Source organism: Homo sapiens, chromosome 14 (assembly GCF_000001405.40).
Source record: "Homo sapiens chromosome 14, GRCh38.p14 Primary Assembly".
In the NCBI taxonomy this organism is placed as follows: Eukaryota; Metazoa; Chordata; class Mammalia; order Primates; family Hominidae; genus Homo; species Homo sapiens.
In genome coordinates this window covers 44,942,357-44,967,363 of record NC_000014.9, presented here as the reverse complement: position 1 = coordinate 44,967,363, position 25,007 = coordinate 44,942,357, and the positions used below count along the sequence as shown (strand labels likewise).

Genomic DNA, 25,007 nt, shown 5'->3' with positions numbered 1-25,007 from the left:
GAGGGGGGTTACTGTAGGATACAGCATATGAATAAATATTACTGATGTTGGGTAGCAGGGATTTTATTGTGAACGAAGGGAGATTCAAATATGGAATAAAGGAAGATGAGAAAGAACCCTGCAGTACTAGTTTTGAATTGGAGGTATTAATATAAATGCATTAAAAAACAAACAAACAAAAAACAAGTACTCCTTGGTTCTGTCCACTGAAAGGGTCAAACCACAATGGCAAGAAATAGCAATGAGCAAATCTATACTCAGACTTTTGTTTTCAAATACCACTGCCCAATAAAAAGGCAGTACTAGGACTTCTGAAAAAAATGGCTGATTCCAGGTCTGAAGCAAGAAAAAAAAAACCAAAGTAAGGCTAGGCATCATGTTACTCTTGTTTTGTTTTATTTTGTTTTTGAGTCTGGGTCTCACTCTTGAGCAGGCTGGAGTGCAGTGGCACAATCATGGCTCACTGCTGCAGTCTGGAACTCCTGGGCTCAAGCAATCCTCCCACTTCAGCCTCCGAAGTAGCTGGGACTACAGGCCTGCACCACCATGCCTGGCTAAGTTTTTTTATTTTTGTAGAGATGGGGATCTCACTATGTTGCCCAGGCTGGTCTCGAACTCCTGGCCTCAAGCAATCGTCCAAATGTTATGTTAAGGAAATAATCAAAGACTAAAGAACAGTCATGTTAAAAGGACACAGGAGCCAGCCACTAGTTAAATTTGGGACAATTTTATCATGAAAAAGTTAAAAAAAATTTAGTAACAAAAAATAATATGTAATTATTACACATACAAGAAAAAAAGAATTGCAGGTAGTAAACAGAGAAGAAATGTCACAATTTTTTAAAATTACTCTTTTTGTAATTAATTTATTTTAGTATTATTATTATTTTTGAGATGCAGTCTTGCTCTGTTGCCTAGGCTGGGGTACAGTGGTGTGATCTCAGCTCACTGCAACCTCTGCTTCCTGGGTTCAAGTGATTCTTTTGCCTCAGCCTCCCGAGTAGCTGAGATTACAGGTGTGTGCCACCACACCCAGCTAATTTTTGTATTTTTAGTAGAGACGGGGGTTTCACCATGTTGGCCAGGCTGGTCTCCAACTCCTGACCTCAGGTTATCTGCCTGCCTCAGCCTCCCAAAGTGCTGGCATTACAGGTGTGAGCCACCCTGCCTGGCCTTTGTAATTTAAAAATTACAATTTGGGCTGGGTATGGTGGCTCACGCCTGTAATCCCAGCACTTTGGGATGCCGAGGCGGGTGGGTCAGGAGTTTGAGACAGGCCTGGCCAACATGGTGAAACCCTGTCTCTACTAAAAATACAAAAATTAGCTGGGCGTGGTGGTGGGAGCCTGTAATCTCAGCTACTCAGGACACTGAGGTGGGAGAATCGTTTGACCCTGGGAGACAGAGGTTGCAGTGAGCTGAGATTGCGCCATTGCGCTCCAGCCTGGGCAACAGGGCGAGACTCCATCTCAAAAAAAAAAAAAAAAAAAAAAATTACTATTTGTAAGCCCCCAGTGTAATAAATGATACAGGTAAAGACCATTGGTGGATGCTAAACACAGTGGGTGAAAAGTTGTCGGGGTATTCTTAGGGTCTCAAAGTATCACTGTACTGATTATATGCTAATTCTAAAGAGGAAAATATACCTTTACAATGGAGAGATCTGGCTATTACCACCTTATCCAAACAGTAAAATTAAGCATCACCAGTGATGGGACAGCCTGATATCATTTGCCTCATAATGTAATGTACTGTGAAGTTCACACTACTTATCTTCTACTTAATATATATGTATCTCCTATGTAATATTTTCCTAAAAATATTTATTTTGAATCTAATCAAGTAAACATATAAATGTAAAACTTGGGACATTCTACAAAACTACCCCAAACTCTTTTTATAAAAGGCCAATGCCATGAAAAAACAAAGAAACAAACAAGTAGGATATTATTCTAGATAAAATTACAAGGGACATTAACCACATGAACCCTGACTAGATCCTGGATGATAAAAGTAAAACAAGAAATATAAAACACTTTTGGAGACAATTTGGGAAATTTAAATACAGGCTGTCTGTTACATATTATTGAATTACTACTGATAGTCTTAGGTGCAATAATGATTTATGGTTATAAAAGAAGAATGTCATTCTTAGGAGATATATGCCGAGATATTTAGGAGTGAAATCTCAAGATATCCACAATTTACTTTCAAATGGTTCAGCAAATATGGAGGAAATATGTCAAGATGTTACAACTGGTAAATATAGATGAAGTATATGGGTATTCATTGTACTCTTACCTATAGATTTGGAATTTTTTAAATAAAAGCTTTGGGGGGAAAATCTCAGTTCAAATGTTGTATCTTCTGTGGAGGCTTTTTCTTTTTCCTTTTTTTTTTTTTTTTTTTTTTACTTTTCTAGTGGAATTAGTTTTTCTGTCTTCAGTATTCCTGCAGGACTCTTTATATTTCTACTTTAGCACTTAACGAATTTGTTAACTGCTAATTCCCAGGTCTGACCTTTTTCCTATACTGTGTGAAACTGGCCTCATCTTCATTCCCAGAATTTAGCTCTTTATCTGGCACGTACTAGGTATTCAATGTTTGTTGTATGAATGAGATAAACTGACATGCTACAGTAACTAAAACTGAATCTTGGTATTGTCTATATCACATGTGTCTCAAATTTAATTAAATCTATCAAGCAGGAAGCCTATTAAATGGTCCTTTGTGATCTGTACCATTATAATGAGTACCAACATTCAGATGGATTTAAAATCAATTTAAAACAAAGCATAACATGTTTCCCTCAAGCAGGCTGACCCTTAAGTCATCACGGGCATATTTTCATTTAAATTCTTCACACTTTCGACTCAAGAAAATTAGAGAAGCATACCTGCTCTATATCCTTGGAAGTGGAGGTCTGGTTTTCTCCCATGATTCCAGGTTGCTCATTTTCCCATGGTAATTTATTTTTTCCTTTTCCTGCACTTAATACCCTTCGGGTACAGATAGTTGGGCTGTAAGATCCATAAATGTGCATGCTATCCCTCACGTGGTCACCACAGTGACAGTGTGCACTCTGAGTTCTGTTACCAGCCAAAAGCCAGTCCGTATCTGCTCCATGTGCCAAATGGTTTGACCTACCCCCGGCAGAAGATGGCATCAGTACTGCATATTCCACAAATCCCTGCTCTGTGAGCCTTGGTAAGGTTTTCCTAGCCAATCTGGCCTGCACAGCATTCATCACTCCATCTCCATTATCTTGCAGTTCAACTGTATCCACAGCTTTAAAAAGGATGCTGGTTTTACCTGAGCCCATTGATGATGCCAATACGGCAAAAGCTTCTAAAGCTGCTTGGCGTACCCTGCGTTTGCTATCTACAAGAGCTGGGGCAAGATCAAAGGACAGTTTGGGCAAGTCAAAATCCTCACTAGGATAGGTCAGCAGGGAGCAGATGCAAATGTTCACCACCTCCTCTCTCACTCTGGAATGCTTATGTTTGAGATGTTCCAGGAGTAAACAAAGCACCTGCTGAGGTCCTACTTCCTTCATTAGCTTGAGGAAGATTTTCATGTATTCTTGTTTGATCACCAACTTGTTGTCCGCCAGCACTTTGACAGAAGCTGCTATAACTGGTCCCAAGAACTGCTGTACCTGCTCTCCAAGGCGAATAACCAGTAAATGCAGGACTTCAAGTGTGCCATGCACCACTTTGAAGTTAGAATCGTCTAACAAATTATATAGCAAACTAATGAAGCCAACAAGACTAGAATGAGGAGTAGAACTAGGGTTAAATTTTCCCAGCACCTGCTTTAGTTCTTCGACGGCCTGGGTCCGGTTCTTATAGTCTTCCTGATCCAATAATCGTGAATGCAGCTCCTGAGGAATAATCCCAAATTTAAGATTGCTGTTGGAAAGAGTCACTGCACAGGGAAGGGGATCTTCAGGAAATCCAGAGGCTTCAAGTTCCAAATAATAAGGAACCTGACTTCCAAACTGGGACTCCAGGCGGCGATTGTAGTGTCTCCTCAGGGCAGAGGGCAGACGAGAAATGTAAGATTGAAACCTGTCTTGGCCAAGTCGCTCCCCAATTTGTTGAAGTGCGGAGAAAGCTGTCTCAGATTCTTCTTCTGTCTCCTGATCACCAAGCTTTCGGGCTAGGGATATTATCACCTCGGTGAGATCCAGACCAAGCAACAAGTCCTCAGTAGTAAGCAAGATGGGAAGCAGTAGTGCTGTGGAAGCTCTAAGTCGGGCATCGGTACTTTCCAGTCCTTGTTGTATAAGCGTTCTCAGCACCTCTCCAGGACTACGTTTCAGACATATATGAAGGATCTGCAGCGCATCTTTCCGCAGGGCTGGATTCTCTTCCCGTAACGAGACAACTAGTTGAGGCAAAAGTGCTAAGCTAAAGGCCTCTTCAAGCTGGCCTGCCTCCCCCTGACCCCGGAGAACGTCCGAGAGAAGTTGCAAGCAGAGCCGCTTCTCATCACTACCTCCTTCCACAAGCACTCGGCCCAGTGCCCGATACAAAGCTTCCTTGCGTCGGGGGAAGCCAAGTCGACCGCCCCGCCGCGGCAAAGCAGCTTGCAAAGCCTGGAAGGCCTCAGAAGGATCCCGGGCAGTGCGGAGGAGTTGAAGGAGCCGAGTGTCCTCTTCATCTCCCCCTGACAAACCGCCTCCAGACTCAGACCAGCTGCTTGAGACTGCCTCCGAGGGCATCAAGAGGGCCGAGGCCAGAGGCGAAGTTGTAGTGGGGCAGGAACCGTGGTCCCCCGCAGCTCCACGGAAGTAGTAGTTTTTCTCTCCTCTCATAATGCCCCCAACTCGACTATCATCGGTCTCTGGGGCGGAAGGACGACTGCGGCTCTGGAGCCGATAGGTAGAGAGGACTGGAAAGGGCGGCAGCAGAAGCAGCGCGGAGGGGGCAGCCGCCATGCAGGGTTGTCAGGTGGTGGTGGTTGGAAGAAACCATTGCCGTCTCCAAAGGGCTCGATGGAGCCCAGACTTCCAGATCCTCTCCAAGCCCCAAGCTGCAGAAGAGGCAAAAGAACAGCTTCAGCCTGCCGCCAGGCCGCCCCCAACTCCGGGAGGCAGCCTCTGGCAAAATGGCCCCCGTCTGAGCCCTAGACCCCACAGCTGCCACCGGGCGTAACCAAGGGCACCACGTGACCAAACCGATTGCTTCCATGGTGATGTACCCAGCGCGGACCTCTTGACCCGGAAATCCACTTGCCGTGATGAATGCTGGGTTATGTAGTCCACGTCAGGTGTTGAGACTAGGCCAAAGTCTCCTGGAAGAGGAAGTCAGAACGTTGTAAACGCAGCTACAGCGGAGAAGGGAGGAGGGGTGAAGCCATTTGACGGATGTGACGCTTTCCTTGCTCTGGGCGGAAGTTGCCCGCCCCACCCGTAAGAGTTAGGGTTTGACCGGAGCTAGTGAGGATCCAGCCCAGGCTCCAGTTGTCCGCGGTTCCTCCTCCTGTCGCTGCCCGTGTGATTACTGAGACTCAGGTATTTTCCTTTTGCTGTCCTCCAGCGGTGCAGGCTTTGGCAGTGTTTTGCCCGAATGCCACTGGTGCTAGAGTAAGAGGCAAAGGACTGAGCGGAGCAGGTGGAAAGAGAGGCGACATCTTCTTGTGCAGGGCTCGTCACCCTTGTAAACGCGTTACTCTCTACCACCCTGAGTAACTGCGATCCTTTCCTCTTGCCATCTGCTTATCAGGACAGAAGATCTGGACCACGGCCAAGCTCACAAATCGGGTATTTTTTTTCAATTCCTGGTCTTTGGGGCCTTTATTCGCCTCCCCCTTCTCCTTTTGTCGACTTCTCTTAACCCTCCGGCCGCAGAGGGTTAATTTTTTTTTGTTTTTGTTTGTTTGTTTTTGGCAACGTTTCCTTACCCTCATCACTTTGCGTTTTCTTTACAACGTACATAATATGGAAATAGGTCTGTTTTTTTCCCCCTGTAGCTAACCGCCTCTCCCTTAGACGTTATCAAAATCTTTCCTTCTAATGCAGTTCCTCTGTGGGACTCTCCCCTAACCTCCGCCCCCTCCGTCTGCCGCCCTAGCCTCCCTGCAGGATCCTCAAGCGTCTCTGCAGCCTTTCAGTCTCCTAGAGACAGAGATTGCGAAGACAATTTCACTTGCGGTGGAAGTTCTTGGCATCATGGTTCTAAGAGAATTCTGCCTTGTGGATTTAGGAATGATAGTAGACATTTATTTATTTTAGGCGAACTGAGAATTTTGTGTGCATTTTCTCCTCATAAGTGATACTTAAACGGACACAGTGGAAGAGCTGGAGTGTCTAGTGTGAGCCTGAATGCTTTGGAGTGTGGAAGAGATATTTTTTTTTTTTGAAGGAATAATACTATTACTTTTGAATGACTCGTGCGAAAAGTCTAAGTTATCATTTGAAGACCCAAATTTATGCACTTCAAATGCAAGTATTCCTACCCTGCTCTGTACCAGGTGGGATTTCTCTTAAATACTTTTTAAAGTCTTGGAATAAATGAGTCACATATGCCAAACAGCTTTATAAATAATGCTCCCAGCTGATGCAAGTGCAAAAATAATTTCTGGATTTTTGCCTTAAAGTACGATTTGAATATCAGTTTTGTTTTGTTTTGTTTTTGGGGGGGTGGGGGTGGGGAATAGACTATAATGTAAATGAGGCTGTGTAAATATACATCCTATGTTTTGGTTTAAATTCTAGGCTGTTACTTTGGTTTTAATGAGCCATTTTCGTGTTTAAATGAATCTGCCTAAATTAGGTTTAGCTAGCATGTTTCATTTTAGGGACAGGTTAAAGACAGGGAGGTGAAAAACAAGAAATGATTGTAGCAGTTGTCAATGAGAAAGTGTCTGGTTCTCACAGTTCCAACCTAAGAAGCTCAAATGTGTAGACTTCTAGTCATGTATTGCCCAGACTTGAGGAACCCAGTTCAAACTAACCTAGACAATGATGTACACATTACAGTGCCAGTTTATGTTGGATCAGAATTTTCAAGTTGAAAATCCAGTGCACTCTTTCTTGTATCCAAGAACTTGGGAAGCCAAGTTAATAACTAGAGGTTGTGTGGTAATCATGGAATCACAGAAAAGGAACTTCGAAAGTCTTAAATGAGAGACGTGGATACTTAAGCAGTTATCATGCCCTTTTCCTGGGAACAAAGCAAGATGAGTCTTCCTTTTGATTCTTGTTTTTTTAGATCCCTGTGGATCACTATACATTACAGATTGCAATTTATTTTTTATCTGTTACATTTTGTCTCTTTGATTGAAGACTTAGAAGAGGCATTAGTCTCCATAGTGGATATTTAGGAAATGGGACTTCATCAGCATCACGTCTTACTGATTATCTTTTAGAGTTATTTTGTGGAACATAAATCTCATTCATTGAGTGTGTATTCTTTTTATTACGAAGCAGATTTTTTTTAATCTTTGGAAATCTAGGAATTTCTCGTATATTGACTTAAAAAGCCTTTTGTATTTAATCATATATAGAGAGAGTACAAATTTGTAATCAATTTTTAGATAGTAGAATACACTATTAGGTGTTTTATTAATAGTACACCTCAGAAAGTTAAAAGGAAGTGGTTAAGGATACATTGAAAATTGCAAATTCAGCTAAAACAAGTTTAAAATTTCAATAATTTCAAGAATGTAGTTAAATTAGTGAATTATAGGAATGTGTGTGCTACATATGTTAATTTTTTTAGCTGAACTTAAGGGTAAACACAATTGCCCTAAAAACTTACTTTATTTCCAGAATCAGAGATAACACATTAGTTCCCTGGGCGAATCACTATGATTTTTCTGTGTTCTTACTCAAATTTTACAGACATCCAGGAATATTGAACGTCAGTGTGAATTCTGTAAACTATTAAGAATTTTGTGTAGTTTGAGAAGTTATTGTGAAGAAATGCTATGCAAATGAAAGTTGCTATTAATATTAACAAACAATCATAATAATACCATGTTTTGAGTATTTGCTATGTGCCATGCACCATGCTAGGTACTTAGTAAATATTAACTCATTTAATCCTCACAAGAATTTTTTGAGGTTACATCTTCTACATTTGGACTATGGAACATTTTATGGGTGTTTCCACAAAAGAGTAATTGGACAGAGGAAGAAAGTAAAACTCACATTTGCTTAGAGCTTGGAGAAGGTTTTGGTGGAGGTCACTGTTGAAACTTTAGGATAAAATTAGATTTTTTCCATTATTATTCATTTATTATATATCATTTGATTATATATTTTTTAATTTATTATTTTTTCTTTCAATCCTTGGTTGAAGATTATATATATTTTAATCTATCCTTTTTGGATTTCTATTCAAAATATTTTTAGTTTCTTGTTTGAGGTAACACTTTAATAAGTTAAGAAATTATGAGCTTATTTTATACAGGATTGAATCAGTTTTCTTGATGTATATGAGTGATATATTTTCATCTACTTAGGTTTATCTTCCAAAGCCATTATGTATTTCTGTCTTCAGTCAAAACTATAATTTTAAACAAAAATCCAACTTGTATTACATATTAATTACTATGTATAAGTTAACAGAATTTCACATCTGTTGCAGTTTTTCAGTGGACAGGGATTAATTATGTAACTTAGACGCCTGTCATAACATGGATTCAGAAATAACACAGAAGAAAGCAAGTTCAAAGTCATTACCACATCCAGTAAGAGCTCTTGACAGGCTTCTAATTTTACTTTTCTTTTGTTTGTCAATAAAAGTCAAATCTCAGATAAAAGGAAAATATCCTAACTTATTCCATAGGCTCACTGATAGAATTATATACCATTATTAGTTGAATTATCCTATGAGGAAAGTTGAACTGTAGGAAAGAAATTTAAGAAAAGAGCAGATGTGATAGAATATTCTCCTAATTTGATAAATCATTTCTTATTTTCTCTTTTTAAAGAAAACTGTCGGTTTGAATTTTTTTTTTAAGAGTAATCTTGATTTCTGTTCACCATTTATTTACTCTGGGTGTGATCTATATTTATATAGTGGCAGATAAGTGCCTCCCAACTGATTTCAGCACCACTGTTTTGTGGCTTAGGTGTCAATTAAGTAGATAGGTACAAAACTCGCAACTTGACCTTTATTAACTTGGTTTCAGAGCCTAAAGTTAAGTTACTGTAGACTATGGAAAGTTTTATTTTAATTTTAATTTCAAATGGATACTTTTTATTCGATATTGACTAATGCAGTTACCAAGATTCAGAATACTATTGTTTGTTTTATCATTAAAAAAAAAAAAAAAGAACAAAAACTATGGCAGAGATATGGAGGAACCTGATATACCAAATCTGCTTTTAGGCAAATACTGGAAGGCAATGATTGTTCCATGGATCCTTCTTTATTTCATTTTAAAGCCCTGTGTATTTTTGTATCTAATGTGTATTTATTTTATAAAGATTTTATATGAATGATCTATCCTCTGGATTTCCATTCTGCACATTTTTAATTTCTTGTTTGAGTTAAGATTTTAATAAGATTAAGAAATTCTGAGCTTATTTAATAAATGAGGCAGTGTAATAGAATATTTAAGAATTACATAGACAGAGTGCCAAGGTTTAAATCTTGCCTTGGACTTAATTTCTCTGTGCCTCACATTTCTTTATCTGTAAAATGGTGGTAATAATAACAGTGCCTATTATATTGTTGCTCTGAGGATGAAAGGAATTAATACATGTTAAAAGCTTAGACTGTTAACTGGTACATTATGACAGTCAAAGGTATTCTAGATGCTCTTTCATAGAATTATTTCATTTTATGAGAAGTGATAACAATTATAAATTGATTCAGTAAATATTTTAAGCAGCTCAACATTGTTTGGCAGTTAATTTTTTGTATGTAATGTGTAGAGAGCATTGTTCCAAGATTAAGAAAACATTCTAGTCCCAGTAATGTTTTTTACTAATTATGTGATTTTGCTAATTCATTTAAACTCCCTGAACTTAGGATTCTAAAACTGTCTTATTCAAAATTTTGTGCCTTATATTTTCTGTTTTTTAAGAAAAAAGTCTCTTACTGTGCAAAATTTCAAAAACATGTAAAAGCAGAACAATATGATGAACATCTATTTACCTATCACGCATCTTCAATAGTTATCAACTCATGACACCATCTATATCCCCTTCCACAACCTCATCCCCTATTATTTTGCAGCAAATCCTAACAACATATTATTTCATCTACAAATATTTCAATACAGCTGGTCATGGGGGCTCACACCTGTAATCGCAGCTCTTTGGGAGGCCAAGGCAGGAGGATTGCTTGAGGCCAAAAGTTCAAGACCAGCCTGGACAAATAGTGAGATCCCATCTCTACAAAAAATAAAAATAAAAAATATTAGCCAGGCATGGTAGCATGCGCCTGTAGTTCTAGCTACTTGGGAGGCTGAGGAGGGAGAATCCCTTGAGCCCAGGAATTCAAGGTTACAGTGAGCTATAATTGCACCATTGCACACCAATTTCAGCATATATCTGTAAAAGAAAAAAGCTCTTAAAAACACAACCACAATACCACTATTTAGCAACAAAAAATAGCAGTGATTAATTAATATATTAATAATCCAGTCAGTGTGTAAATTTCCAACTGTTTTCTAAATATGTGGGTGCACACACAAGTCTATGGTTCACAGGTTGTATTTGATTGATACGTCTTTTAAATTTATAGATTCATTCTCTTTATTTCTTGCAGTTTATTTGTTGAAGAATTTAGTTTATTTTACAAGATTTTTCACAGTCGGTATGTTTTTGCTAATTGCATCTTTCTGGTATTGTTTAACATGATTTTTCTATTTTCTATATTTTATGTAAATTAATAGTTGGAACTAGAGAATTGGCTGTAGTTTAATTTGCTTGACTTTGGTGTGTGTTGGGGTTGGGACGTGAGAATACTCATGGGTGTTATGTTTTTCCATCAGAAGGCCCAATTATCTAGCTATCTCTCTTTTTGTGATATAAACAGCCCTTCACAATCAATGCCCATTATTTATTAAGGATGCAAAATGATAATATTCCATTATTCCTTCTTTATTTATTAACAGGGATACTTTTAAAAAGAGAAATTTGGCCAGGTGTAGTGGCTCATGTCTGTAACCCCAGTACTTTGGGAGGCCAAGGTGGGAGGATCGCTTAAGACCAGGAGATTGAGACTAGTTTCGGCAAGGTAGCAAGACCCTATCTCTTAAAAAACAAAAACAAAAAAACTCATCTATTTGGAAACCCAGTAGTACAGTTAGTGTAGGAAAGGCATAATAAATGTTTGATTATTTCTCTTTGTTTACTAGGTTTCAAAAAATGAGTTGCTACATTAGCATCGTCCGGTGTTGACCATTAGGACTTTTTTTAAGTATCATTATTAACTCATGCATTTAAAATATCTGATATCGTTTAATCAATTGCAGTTATTATTATTGATGATCAGTTTGTCCTGTCTTTGACTAGTGAAAGCCTATTTAGTTTGGCCCCTGAATATTTTTTATATGACTCTTGTAGTATTTGATAGCTTTCTTGCTACCTAGGATGTATTTATTTATTTATTTTGAGGCAGGGCCTCACTCTGTCTCCCAGGCTGGAGTGCAGTTGTGCAATCACTGCACACTGCAGCCTCGACCTCCTGGGCACAAGCAATTCTCCTAGCTCAGCCCCCCAAGTAGCTGAGACTACAGGCATGTGCCACCACATCCAGCTAATTTTTTTATTTGTTTTTTTTCTTTGTAGAGACGGAATTTCACCGTGTTGCCCAGGCTGGTCTCAAACTCCTGGGCTCAAGCTATCCTCCCACCTTAGCCTCCCAAAGTGCTGGGATTATACTACCTAGGATTTAGATTCCAAATGTGTCTTGACATCTTCTGCCCCAGACATGGTATCAGCTATCTGCCCAAGGAGTTCTGTTCTCTTTGAGGGAAATGGTATTTAGAGAGTACATCTGAATGCTAGAAGTGTTCTTTGCTACCGGGATGGTCAGTTTCTAGACCTTTTCAGTAGACAGAGCTAGGAAATATAATTTATTTTTTTCCTTAAAATAATATTACGTATATTTAATATGTATGTATAGCTCACATGTATTTTATGTATTATATATAAATTATGTATTAGTATATATGAATATTTACTGTTATTTATATACATATATTTATTCTCATACTTTTTATTCAAATACAGACTGTGAGGTTCATAATTAACATCTTAGTGTTATGTCGTTACCTTCTTTTTCCCATACCAAGAATCCTAGATCACAGTGACCCTAGGGTTGATAGAATATCATATCATTACTCATTTGCTTTATAGCACAATACACACATTAACAGTGTCACAATACAAATAAACAGTGTCCTTATCAACAATGCGATTACTGAAAACAGCATAAGATATATATTTTAGGGCATGTCGCAATAGAGACTTCAGATTACTGTTTTAAAGTTATTTGGAATGGTATGGTAAGGCCACTAAGTTGATATTTTCTTCCTTTGTATTTTCAATTTTCAAATTTCTTATGGATCATGTTTTTAAGATTTAATTGTGCTTTATAATTACATAAAATACTTTTCTGATTCCACAGTCAAATCTATAAAACAGAGTATATTCAAAAATATCTACCTTCTATCTCTATCCTCTAGTTTTTAGTTCCATACCTCCTCTTGTAGGTAACCTTTAAAAGTATATATTGTGTAAAATTTCCTTTTTTTAATAGAAATGATTATGTATGTTTGTAATCTTCCCTATCGTAGATAAATGGTGACACACTAAACACACTTTGCTTAGATCAGGGAGATCACTGCAGAGTATTCTATACAGAGATTCCTCATTCCTTTTCATCGCTGTATAGTACTGCATTGTGTGGATGCTCTATAGTTTTCACAACCATTCTTTTGTTGCTGGACATGAGAGTTGTTTTAAAAATCTTGGTCAGTTGCCTTTTGGTCTCTCAAATATGAGGAATAAGAAACATGAGTATATTATTTTGTTTTTATAAATAGATCTGCAATTATTATTAGCCTTATGGATTTGTCTTTATACATTTTTGCCAGTGTAATTTTTGGATAGATTCTTAGAAGTAGGGTTTTTGGGTCAAAGGAAAAATCCAAATGTAATTTTGCTGTATTTTGACAGATTTACCTCCAGAGGTTTTGTATCATTTTCTATTCCCACAGCAATGAGTGAGATTTCCTGTTTCTCACATCCTCACCAACAGACTATACTGTCAAGAGAGAATTGTTAACTCCATGTATTAATTTATTTGATTTTAAGTGAAGTTGAGCAATTTTTGTATGGTTAAAATCATTTATGTTTTTAACAAACATCTGTTCATTTCTTTAACCAATTTTTCCTATAGGGCTAGAAAATTTTAGAAATATTTTATGTATTACTGATATATATTTTATATATGCTACAAATATTTTTCTCAGTCTCATTTATATTTTTACTTACGATTTCTTTATTCCAAGTTTTTAAAATGTAATCAGTTTTACCTATTTTTTCACTGATGTCTTCTGGATTTTGTTTCAAAGTTAGGAAACTGTTCCCTAATCTCAGGTTGTCTTAGTTTGTTTTCCATTACTTATAACACAATATCTGAAACTGGATAATTTATAAGTAAAAGGAATTTATTTCTTACAGTTATGGAGGCTGAGAAGTCCAAGGTCAAGGGGGCCACACCTGGTGTGAGCTTTCTTGGGGCTGCATCTGGTGGAAGCCTTCTTGCTGGTAAGAACTCTGCAGAGTCCCAAGGCAGCACAAGGCCTCACATGGTGAGGGGGCTGTGAGTGTGCTAGCTCAGCTCTCTCTTCCTCTTCTTATAAAGCCACTGGTCCCACTCCTGTGATAACCCTTTAATTTGCTAACATGTTAATTCATTAATCCATAAGTGGATCAATCCGTTCATAAGGACTCTGCCAGTTACCTCTTAAAAGCCCTACCTCTCAATACTACCGCATTGGGGACTAAATTTCAACATAAGTTTTTACCCGTATTTTATTCTAATATTTATATAATTACATTTTTCATATATATACCTCTGATTCATTTGTAATTTATCCTGTTGGTGTAGGTATGTAGCAGAAATCTAGTTTTACCTGTTTCCATATGGCTATTCCGTTATCTCAACACATTTATTTAAACGTTTCTCTTTTCCCTCGCAGAGATTCCACCTTTATCATATACTAAACCTGCATATCTAAATGATCTACTTTTATATTTTCTGTTCTCCATTGATCTATTTTTCCTTACATACGTCTCATTTAATCCTGTTAATCCACAACAAATTTTACAAATGAGAATGTTTAAGCTTAGAATAAGTAATTTGCCCAAGTATCAAATAGCCCAGCTATTAAGTAGCAAAATGTAGACTTAAATCCAAATCTGTCCGACTCTAAAATTAATGCTTTTACTCCCTGTTCTTTCCTGTGTTTGTTTTTTTTTTTTTTATGGTACTTACCCTTCCTTTTACGCAAAGTGGTTACTGAGGTAAATGAAACTGCCAGTGTAAAACTGTTTGACAAATGTGGGGCTTTGAGGATTAGAAAGTATTACTTCTTTGAATTACTTTTTTTAGCCATTTATGGGTAGATAGCTGAGAACCAAATATAGTCACAGTTGCCATGTATAATTTTGAAGGCATTATAGTTTTTGAGCCAAACGCAGTGGTGGACACCTGTAGTCCCAGCTACTGATGAGGCTGAGGCAAGTAGGTCACTTGAGCCTAGGAGTTTGAGGTTGCATTGTGCCATGATCATGCCTTTGAGTGGCCATTGCACTCCAGCCTGGGCAACATAGTGAGATCCTGTCTCTAAAAAACTTTCATTTTAAATATTTCTTAAAAATAATTTTCAGTAATTTTTAAGCTGCTAAACTTGAGCTATAAATATTTTAACTGGTTCTGGAACTTTTGCCTAAGAATAACCTGGAGGACTTAAAACACAGTTTGCCCATTTCCTGCAACCCCACTGCCCTATGTAGTTTCTGATTGCTTACAACTGTGATGGGGCTCAAGAATTTACATTTCTAGCAGGTTCCCAAATGTTGCTAATGCTGTTGGTACAAGGATCAGATTTGAAAACCACTGTTTTAAAAACTCTATATTTGAAAATGTTAGAATTCTGTGCATTTTTCTAAAGTCATATTTTTTGAGAGAGGAAAGGGGCCAAATTAAAAATTTTAAGATTTAATTTGGTCATGCTCAGTGGCTCACACCTGTAATCCCAACACTTTAGGAGTCCAGGGTGGGTGATCGTTTGAGTCCAGGAGTTCGAGACTAGCCTAGGCAACATGGTGAAACTCCTTCTCTACAAAAAAAATACAAAAACTAGTCGGGCGTGGTGATGTGTGCCTGTAGCCCCAGCTACTTGGGAGGCTGAAGTGGGAGAATCACCTGAGCCCAGGAGGTCAAGGCTGCAGTGAGTAAGCTAAGATCTCGCCACCACACCCTGGCCAGGGCAACAGGAATGAGAACCTGTCTGAAAAACAAAAACAAAAACAAAACAAAAAAATTATGTTATGGAAAACTGCTAGTGTAATTCATTTTAAGTTCCCTATTTTTACCTTGCCTTGTTGAAGTTGCTAGTTGACACTGTTTTGATTAAGCATTCAAACTATAATTTTTAAAATTAAACTTTATTCTCAGTAGTTCTTACAAGGAATGAAAGTATATCATTTGCATCTAATACAATTATAAAAATATGCTAGGCTTTCTTTTATGAAGTTACTTTTACCAGTGCCTTTTCTTTGGCCCATTTTAAACACTTTGATAATTTCTATTATTATGGAGTAAAATGAACCATGCTGGTTCAAATGAATAGAATGTCTTACTTACTAGTTGGAATGGTCAGAAAATATTTAAAAGGTTTTAACAACATAGATCTAGGAAAGTGAGATAAAGCAGTATTATAGGGGCATAAGTATAGGGGAACAACTTTGTCATGGTACTCTGGTCACCTTGCATGTATCCATGTAGGCAAAGACTTGGACCTCAGGACTGCAGCTTATCCGTGGCTTGACACACCTTGTGATTCTCCTGGAATATGAGAGAGTGAGAGGCCTCTAAGGAGCTGCTATGAGGTCATCTCCCAATTTTCCACTCACCTCTCTATTTCCCCTACAAGTGTGTCATGAGACAGTTTCTCTTCACTTCCCTGGTTGTGATTAGGTGTTAGACTTTTGACCCCATCCCACACCCTTAGAATAGAGCTACAGAATAGAAAACTGCTTAGCCATAGTTTTCATGGGGCCAGCCCCTTTTTTGTGTTACCATTTTTGATGTGCGGGACAAGGATCCAGGCAGTTTACTCTTTGGCTAATCTTCTTTTCAATCTGTAAGTAATAAACTATCTAAATCTAATAAGCCATCTATATTTTAAAATGGCTCATATGTCTCTTTACTGATAGAATTAGTGAGGCTTTGGCCTGGCTTTGGTAGGTATTTGTTCCCTGGACAGTAAGCAAACTTCCTTCCTTTTTTGGTATGCATGGAAAGGCATTTCATGGATATAGTTGGCAATAACCAAGCTTTTTAAAGGTTGATGAACAGTAAAAATAAATAACGTCTACCAATTACTGAGTGCTTATGTACCAGCACATAGAAAGGCATATTTACAACTGCTTTTTATACAATTTTGTCTATTTTTTTACAAATGAGAAAACTGAAACTTTTGACTGAATTTCCCAAGGTCACATAATACAGACCATTGTATTGTAACCCGGGAAGCCTGGTACCAAAGCCCAGTCTCTTAAAACTATACTGCATATCATACAAATATATGCATGTGTGTATATTTATGTGTTGTGTGTGTACATACATGTATGTGTGTATTTACAGACCTATGTTGTGTCATTTTTGCGTGTCATATGTTGATGGTGTACCAGTTTTGAATTGGGTACACAAAAATTAGGTTAACAATATAGGATCTATCACTATGTGATTCCTAATTATATTAAAAATGAATCTAGTCAATACTTCATAACCTTGATTTGAGAATCAACAATTCTGTGATACTTGTGTTGCCCAGGGTATCAGAGAAGACAGAGTGGGTTTCTTATCTAATAGTGAGAGGTAGTGCAACATAGAAAGTTGACTACTTCTCAAGGGACAACTCGAAGAATTTACTAGTAATAACTCATATTTATTAAGAGCCTACTAAGTGATAGGCCCTATTCTGAGCCCTTTTTATGTATAAACTCGTTTAATCCTCAAAACAACCCTATATTATAATTATTATTCCTGTTGTTGTTGAGTAACCTTCATTCCTTGGTTTTTCATGTGATAACTCAGACCTCCTTTTTTCCCAGACTCAGTACCTCTGTTCCATTACCTGTAAGACATGATTTGAATTTCTGCTGTTCATCAGGTGTTACAGTCTGTTTAGATCCCTGTCAAAGGATGATACCCAAAATCTGTAGTACAGATATGGACTGACATTTGCAGAGCAAAGCAAAAATTTCTCCTCTGTAGTTCTGTATATTATAGTTCTGTTAATGCAGCTTAAACCCACATAAGTTTATGGTGTTAAAATAGTACTGCAATTAAAATCCCTAAACCTGTTAAACACGTTCTACAGATGCGTCTTTTCTCTCTTATTCTATACTTGGGTAGTTGGTTTGGAATCTGCTATAGAATTTTTACATTTATCCCTTTTAAATTTCTTCTTGTTAGATATAAGTCTTTCAGGATCCTTATTGTGTTAGTCAATGCTTTTGCTGTCCTTTGCAGCTTCATGTCATCTTCAAAGTTCAGGACATAAAATATCTTCATCTTGGCCTTACAGAATACCACTAGAAGCATCCCTCTAGGCCTCATTCCATTAAGTGGTATACTCTGGGGGGTATTTGTTCCACTAGTTGCTGATTTAGCTAACTGAACTAGCTTATATATTTTTTTAGTTTTGTTCTTTGAAAAATCATGAAGGGCATTATAAAATTATTTACTAATATCTAGTTAAATATCAAGTCTACTTTTCTGATCTACAAGTCTTCTAAATAAATTTTTAAAAAGAAACAAACCTAGTCTGTAACATGTCTTATTATTTTTAGCTCATATATCCTAATCCTAAAGATCTCTACATCTTCTTATCGGTATTCACAAGTCAAATCTTTAATAATTTGTTTTAGAATGTTATCTGAAATTAACAGAAATCTTACCATATTGTAGAATTTACTGTCTTATTTTTGAAAATAGTCTTCAGTCCTGTGGCACTGGTAATGATTCAATAATCTCATTTGCAGGCTCTTTTAAATATCTTGAAACATAATTGTTTAGTCTGAGAGAGAGATGAATTTACAAAGTGACTAGGTCTCCTTTTTCAATCCCTTCTCTTATTTTTCGCATACATTTTCCTTTTCTGTTGTTCATCCTTCACTTTTTAGTCTACCATTCTCCTTGTTAAATCAGAAAATGAGAGTTGAAAGGGGTATGTTTTACAGAGCAACACGTATAATTGAATTAATTGCATGTAAAGGGATATAGTAAATAAATGCTTATAGACGTCCAGGTAAAGTTAATTTTTGATCTTGAGTTTTGAGAATTTGAATTGGAGGAAAGGAAGATCAGAGGAGAAAGGTTATAGACAAAATCTAACGTGTGGTAAGAAAATATTTGGGAGATAGCAAGTTTTATATAGAGCTATAGTCATTACATGAGCATCATAAGAGTAAAAGGTCATTGTGGGAAAGAATGGGAATTAGTGAAAGTGGGGATATTGGGAAGTGGCAATTTAGTACAGTGAGACGTAAGTACTATATTCTTAACACCTCAAGCTGTATATTTTGTAGAACTTTATACTTTAGAGAATCACTTTCAGGTAAACTTCTGAGATAAGTGGGGTATTCTTATTTTATGAATGAAACAATTAATACTTAGATTAAGAAAGGCTGGTACCTATTATTCCACCTAATAATATAATTTAAGATTCAGATGGGACTAAAACTCATTACCTTATATTTCCAAAGTCTGTGTTCTTCACTGATATGTTTTATCTCTATCGCCTCACTGCTACCATAGTACTACTGTAGTACAATATCACTTACAGTTTATCATGTTTTTATGTACATTGTCTGATTTGATCCTCAAAAACCTCAGCTACATTAATACCTGAATAATAAAGTACAGGTATTATTATGATCTCATTCTGCAAATAAGGAAAACAAAGATTGAGAAGGTAAAGTTAACGAGGACTGCTTTCTTAACCCCATTACCTATTTTTTCTATCTACTTGCCTTTCCTGTTATTCATTCTTTACTTTTAAGTCTAGATTTTAACTTTTTCATAAAACTGAGGCTAAAAGAAGTTACATAGGTTAAAAAGATCAACACTGGAATAACTAACAGAACGTGTACAGATCTAAACTTATGCCTTCTGATTGCCATCTACTTACTAGTATATATTATGTTCTGGAAAAAAAGTACCTACTGGAAGACCCAGAAGCTTCTTGGGACTTGTTTATACCATGACTGCAATAACATTTGAGAATTTTTCTAGTAGATAGGTGTGAGATTATTTGCAGAGATCAGCAGTGGAGGCTGTTACCAGCTGGAAAGTGGCCATATTAACATAATTTATTAACTGACTTAAAATTCATTGTGAAATAAGTATGAAACAATTACGTACTTGACAAAGATAAAAATTTCAAGAGTTGGATTTTTTCCACTTAAAAATGTATAAGAATGAAGTGCTATACTCTCTCAATAGTGTTCAAAATGTTTGAATTTATAGAATTGATGGTTTTAAGATGGAAACCAAATGTACTTTTTCGTTATTGCCATAACTTGTGATTGAAATGTGAGTGAGACAGGAAGGAAATAGCTTATATTGTATACATGACCTGTATTCCTTTTGTCTACTCTAAGCAGCTGCTACAATCCATTCTGAAATATCCATGTATTAATTCTTAAGGTTACTGTAACAAATTACACAAACTCAGTTGCTTAAAACAAAACAAATGTATTCTCTCACAGTTTTGGAGGCCAGAAGTCTGAAATTTGTGTCAGTGGGCTAAAATTAAGGTGGCAGGACCATGCTCCTTCCATAAGCTCTACGGGAGAATCTGTTCTTGGCTCTTCTAGCTTCTGGTGACTGCCAGCATTCCTTGGTTTGTGGCTGCAGCACTCTAGTCTCTGCCTCTTTAGTCACATGACCTCCTCTTCTGTCTGTGTCACGTCTCCTTCTGCCTTCTTATAAGGTACATGTTGATTGCATTTTGGGCCCACTTGGATAATCCAGGATCTTGTCCCCATCTCAAAATTGTTAATCCTTTCCAAAGTCCCTTTTTGCCATATAAAGTAATATTCACAGATTCCAGGGATAGGGATGTGAATGTCATTTGGGGAGCCATTATTCTGCCTACCATAGTCTTTATTGTCTCTCCACTTTCTTTTCTTTCTCATCCCTTTTCTTCCCTGCTATTTTTATTCTTTTTCATCTTCCAGAAGCACAAAGTGGCAAGTAGATTGAGTGGGCATGATCTGAATTAATGATCAAGAGTTGAGGCCGGGTGTGGTGGCCCATGCCTGTAATCCCCGCACTTTGAGAAGCCGAAGCAGGTGGATCACTTGAGGTTGGGAGTTTGAAACCAGCCTGGCCAACATGGTGAAACCTTGTCTCTACTAAAAATATAAAAATTAGCCAGGCATGTTAGCAGGTGCCTGTAATCCCAGCTACTTGGGAGGCTAAGCAGGAGAATCATTTGTAGCTAGGAGGCAGAGGTTGCAGTGAGCCAAGATCATGCCCCTGGACCCCAGCCTGGGCGACAGAGTGAGATTCCATCTTAAAAAAAAAAAAAAAAAAAAAAAGAGTTGAGTGGGTATGGTATATATAGATCAGTAAGTGAGCCTTATTGCCCTCATGGGACTTTGGATTCTGTTCATAATTAATTAAATTAATTGGTGGTAATAGTACCTTCATTAAATTCAGCACCCTCTGTCAAAGCAATTATTGAAATTTTGGGTAAAGTATGTTAATATGAAATTTCTGCCCAATTAAAGCATCTGTTGGTTGGCAAATAGTGTTGTTTGTTCTACATATAATTTTACTTTAACCAAGTTTTTCCCCTCATATTTTCATTTTATTTCAGTGATAGCTCAGACTTGAATTTAATGCAGGGGAAACAAAATGAAAAAGTTGGTAAAGTTTTGATCCAAAAGTCCATTGTCAGAGATTTTTTTGGTTTGGGGCATCTCATGTAACCTTTTGGGCTTCCATTTCCTAATATCTATAATAAATAAGTTGAATGATGTGATTGTTAAATCTCTTCTAACTCTGAAAGCCTCTAGTTCTAGTATTTACTATGAAGTATTTAAAAACCAATGAACAGACAAATAAATTACAAATCTGATTATTCTGTACTATTTGAAAAGCAGTGTTTTTGACAAGTTTACTTTGAAATAACTGTCTATGCTTTTTTATTTTTCTGTAGATGGACCACACATCCCCGACCTACATGCTTGCTAACTTAACCCACTTGCATTCTGAACAACTTCTGCAGGGCTTGAATCTTCTTCGCCAACATCACGAACTCTGTGACATCATTCTTCGAGTAGGTGATGTTAAAATTCATGCTCACAAAGTGGTACTTGCCAGCGTCAGCCCGTATTTCAAAGCTATGTTCACTGGAAACCTTTCTGAAAAAGAGAACAGTGAGGTTGAGTTTCAATGCATTGATGAAACTGCTCTCCAGGCCATTGTGGAGTATGCCTATACAGGGACTGTTTTTATTTCTCAGGACACAGTTGAATCTCTCCTGCCAGCAGCAAACCTACTCCAGATAAAACTTGTCCTGAAAGAATGTTGTGCATTTCTTGAAAGCCAACTTGATCCTGGTAATTGTATTGGAATTTCTCGTTTTGCAGAAACATATGGTTGCCGTGACCTTTATTTGGCAGCCACTAAATACATATGCCAGAATTTTGAAGCTGTTTGCCAGACTGAAGAGTTTTTTGAGCTTACACATGCTGACTTGGATGAAATTGTTTCCAATGACTGTTTGAATGTAGCTACCGAAGAGACTGTTTTTTATGCATTAGAGTCTTGGATCAAGTATGATGTACAAGAACGCCAGAAATACTTAGCACAGTTACTAAACAGTGTACGATTACCATTGTTGAGTGTTAAGTTTCTCACTAGACTATATGAAGCAAATCATCTTATTCGTGATGATCGCACTTGTAAACATCTTTTGAATGAAGCCCTAAAGTACCACTTTATGCCTGAACATAGACTCTCTCATCAGACAGTCTTGATGACACGACCTCGCTGTGCTCCCAAAGTACTTTGTGCAGTAGGAGGGAAATCTGGACTCTTTGCCTGTTTGGATAGGTAAATAGAAGGCTTTCCTAAATGAATGATGCTAATTGATTTTATGCTTTTTAAATGTGCAGATTTTCTATATTTTAAAAATAGTTTGATTTTCCTTTTTACTTTTCTTTGCTTCTTTTTAGTTTTTTTTCTTCTTCCTAAAATACTTACGTGATTGTTTTTATTATATTGTCATTCATTCTTTACAATACTCTCAATTATTAACCATCTCCCCAAGTGCACACTTTATCCACCTGGTTACTCACAAACTTTTATTCCATTTTCTCTCTTTCTTTCTTTTTTTCTTTCTGGAACCATTTACATGTTTATTTGAGTCAGACCACATCAGAAGAGATTTATTATTGTCAATTATATCAGAAGATAGCAAAGAAGAGAACTAGGAACCTGTGGTGAGGGAACTGGGGACAGGAATGGGTTTGAATGAAAACAGTTCACTAGAAGTGCTACCAAAGAAATGAGAAAAAATAGGATACTGATATAAATTATGTACTTTGAGTGTAATTTGTTTTCTTCAGTGTATTTTTAAAAGACAGCATTAAGAAATATGTTTTTCCCCCCAATAACTTAGATTAGGAATTGTCAGACTTTTTCTATAAAAGACCAAACAGTAAATATTTTAGACTTTGTGAGCCATGTAATCTTTGTGGCATCTACTTAACTCTGCCATTGTAGTGTGAGAGCAGCCATAGATAATACATAAGTGAATGAACATGGATGTGTTCCAATAAAACTTTATTTATAAAAATAGCTAGTGGGCTAAATTTGGCCCATGGTGATAGCTTGCCAACCCTTAATTTGGTGCATTATACTAGTAACTTTTATACATTGAAAATATAGCTTGAAGTTATTTTTGCTTTTTCTTAGATAGGATTGCTTCATGAAAACTTTTGTGTTTAATACATATTTTTTAATACTGTGGATTTCTGACCATTTCCAAAAATTTGGTAGATTGCTTTTCCCTTTCCAATGTTAGGAAACTTGACGTTTCATCAATGGCAACTGATAAATTCTGCATCTTTAAAAAAGTCTCAAAATACCTGTAATCCCAGCACTTTGGGAGGCCAACACAGGAGGATCACTTGAGACTGGAGTTTGAGACAAGCCTGGGCATTATAACGAGATCCTGTCCTTACAAAAAATTTAAAATATTATCTGGGAGTGGTGTTGCACTCCTGTAGTCCCAGCTAATCAGGAGGCTGAGGCAAGAGGATTGCTTAGGCCCAGGAGTTTGAAGTTGCAGTGAGCTATGAATGCACCATTGCACACTAACCTGGGTGACAGAATGAGACCCTGTTTTGAAAAAAAAAAAAAAGTCCGATAATACATTTTATTTATTTATTTATTTTATTTATTTTTTATTTTTTATTTTTTTGATACAGAGTTTGGCTTTTGTTGCCCAGGCTGGAGTGCAGTGGTGCAATCTCAGCTCACTGCAACCTCCGCCTCCCAGGTTCAAGTGATTTTCCTGCCTCAGCCTCCCAAGTAGCTGAGATTACAGGCATGTGCCATCATGCCCAGCTAATTTTGTATTTTTAGTAGAAACGGGGTTTCACCATGTTGGTCAGGCCGATCTCAAACTCCTGACCTCAGGTGATCCACCTGCCTTGGCCTCCCAAAGTGCTGGGATTACAGGCAAAAGCCACTGCACCCAGCCTCATAATACATTTTAACTGTAACCTGAAACTAGTATTGTTGAGACTGGGCTACACATAGAACATTAGTTATGTTAGCTACACGAATTGATTGTTTAACTCTTATTCTGAAATGCACTGGTTACTGGCATAAAGTAAATTATATTAGTAAATATTATGACAAAAATTTTCGAATATGTATTTATAGTGTAAAAATTTTTGAGCAGTTGCCTCTTATTTTCTCAACTATTAAAAATAACAAATTATTGAAGAATAATAAGACCTGTTCATATCTTTTGACATAGTAATCTTTTATCATAGAATCTATCATAATAAAATTTTAAAAATTAAAAGTATTATTTGCATAGAGCTGTTTATTGCAGCATTATTATAACTCTGGAAAAATTAAAACCAACCTGAATGATCATTCAGGTTAACTCTACAAAAGATATTAAACACCTGTGCATCAGATACACTGCTAGATAATTGACCTTCAACAAGTTCATAATTTAGTAAAGGAGACATGTAGAAAATAATACATAATGTTTATGCAACGATCAAGATAGTTTTATAGAAACATTAAAGAGAACCATTTATCCCATCTGGGGGATTTAGGGAAGAGGAATTGTAGAGAACTTCATGTACAAGTTGAGTGTTGAATGCTAAGCAAGAATCAAGCAGAGAAAGAAGAAAGGTCACGAGGAATGTACAAAGACACAATGGCATGATACATTATGGGATATTCAGGAAACTAAAAGCTAATTGGTATTCAGAAGTAAAGGGTTCTAACCAAGAAGTGTCAAGCAGTGGTCTTTGAACCAAGTCAAAGAAGTTATTGTATGCCATGATTTAAAAAAAAAAAAAGACTTTTATGTGGGTTGCAAAACCATTCTAAGGAGGTTAGTGAAATTATTAGATTTGTATCATTCTGGCTGTATTATGGGAAAAATTGAGAGGCCAGGATTAATATCAGATTGATTAAATAAGATGTTATTGTAGAACCTCTTATCTAATATAGGCAAGAGATGATGAGATCCTAAAT

The 25,007-nt window shown here is 36.9% G+C and overlaps 2 protein-coding genes across 19 annotated transcripts in view, besides 5 other annotated features; one reads left to right on the top strand and one right to left on the bottom strand.

Moving 5' to 3' along the window:
- The window catches only part of TOGARAM1 (TOG array regulator of axonemal microtubules 1), a 112,242-nt gene extending 107,068 nt beyond the window's left edge, over positions 1-5,174 (bottom strand). For all 9 annotated transcript variants that reach the window (NR_131765.2, XR_943403.3, NM_001308120.2 and 6 more), the window contains exon 1: positions 2,897-5,174. Coding sequence is in view for 7 of the 9 variants with exons in the window: in NM_001308120.2 (NP_001295049.1) it covers positions 2,897-4,942 (2,046 nt within the window). In the remaining 2 variants the exon portion in view is untranslated. The remainder of the gene's footprint in view (positions 1-2,896) is intronic.
- Positions 4,717-5,231: an enhancer, noted in NCBI's record as "H3K27ac hESC enhancer chr14:45431336-45431850 (GRCh37/hg19 assembly coordinates)". NCBI's record gives its function as "activates a minimal SCP1, AML or CMV promoter by ChIP-STARR-seq in naive H9 embryonic stem cells {active_cell/tissue: H9 hESC(naive)}" and the evidence as "EXISTENCE:reporter gene assay evidence [ECO:0000049][PMID:30033119]".
- Positions 4,717-5,746: a biological region, named in NCBI's record as "H3K27ac hESC enhancers GRCh37_chr14:45430821-45431335 and GRCh37_chr14:45431336-45431850".
- Positions 4,881-5,690: an enhancer, noted in NCBI's record as "active region_8296". NCBI's record gives its function as "activates an Ori minimal core promoter by ATAC-STARR-seq in GM12878 lymphoblastoid cells {active_cell/tissue: GM12878}" and the evidence as "EXISTENCE:reporter gene assay evidence [ECO:0000049][PMID:35858748]".
- Positions 5,232-5,746: an enhancer, noted in NCBI's record as "H3K27ac hESC enhancer chr14:45430821-45431335 (GRCh37/hg19 assembly coordinates)". NCBI's record gives its function as "activates a minimal SCP1, AML or CMV promoter by ChIP-STARR-seq in naive and primed H9 embryonic stem cells {active_cell/tissue: H9 hESC(naive and primed)}" and the evidence as "EXISTENCE:reporter gene assay evidence [ECO:0000049][PMID:30033119]".
- The window catches only part of KLHL28 (kelch like family member 28), a 37,624-nt gene continuing 18,033 nt past the window's right edge, over positions 5,417-25,007 (top strand). For 3 of the 10 annotated variants that reach the window (XM_024449635.2, NM_017658.5, XM_017021378.2), the window contains exons 1-2: positions 5,417-5,518; positions 21,436-22,334. In XM_024449635.2, coding sequence (XP_024305403.1) covers positions 21,436-22,334 — 899 coding nt within the window. In that variant the 5' untranslated portion in view covers positions 5,417-5,518. Of the gene's footprint in view, positions 5,768-5,878; positions 6,478-13,654; positions 13,742-21,435; positions 22,335-25,007 lie in introns of those variants that run through there. The other 7 variants (XM_011536849.3, NM_001308112.2, XM_006720174.4 and 4 more) reach the window with 4 other exon arrangements.
- Positions 6,261-6,350: an enhancer, noted in NCBI's record as "active region_8295". NCBI's record gives its function as "activates an Ori minimal core promoter by ATAC-STARR-seq in GM12878 lymphoblastoid cells {active_cell/tissue: GM12878}" and the evidence as "EXISTENCE:reporter gene assay evidence [ECO:0000049][PMID:35858748]".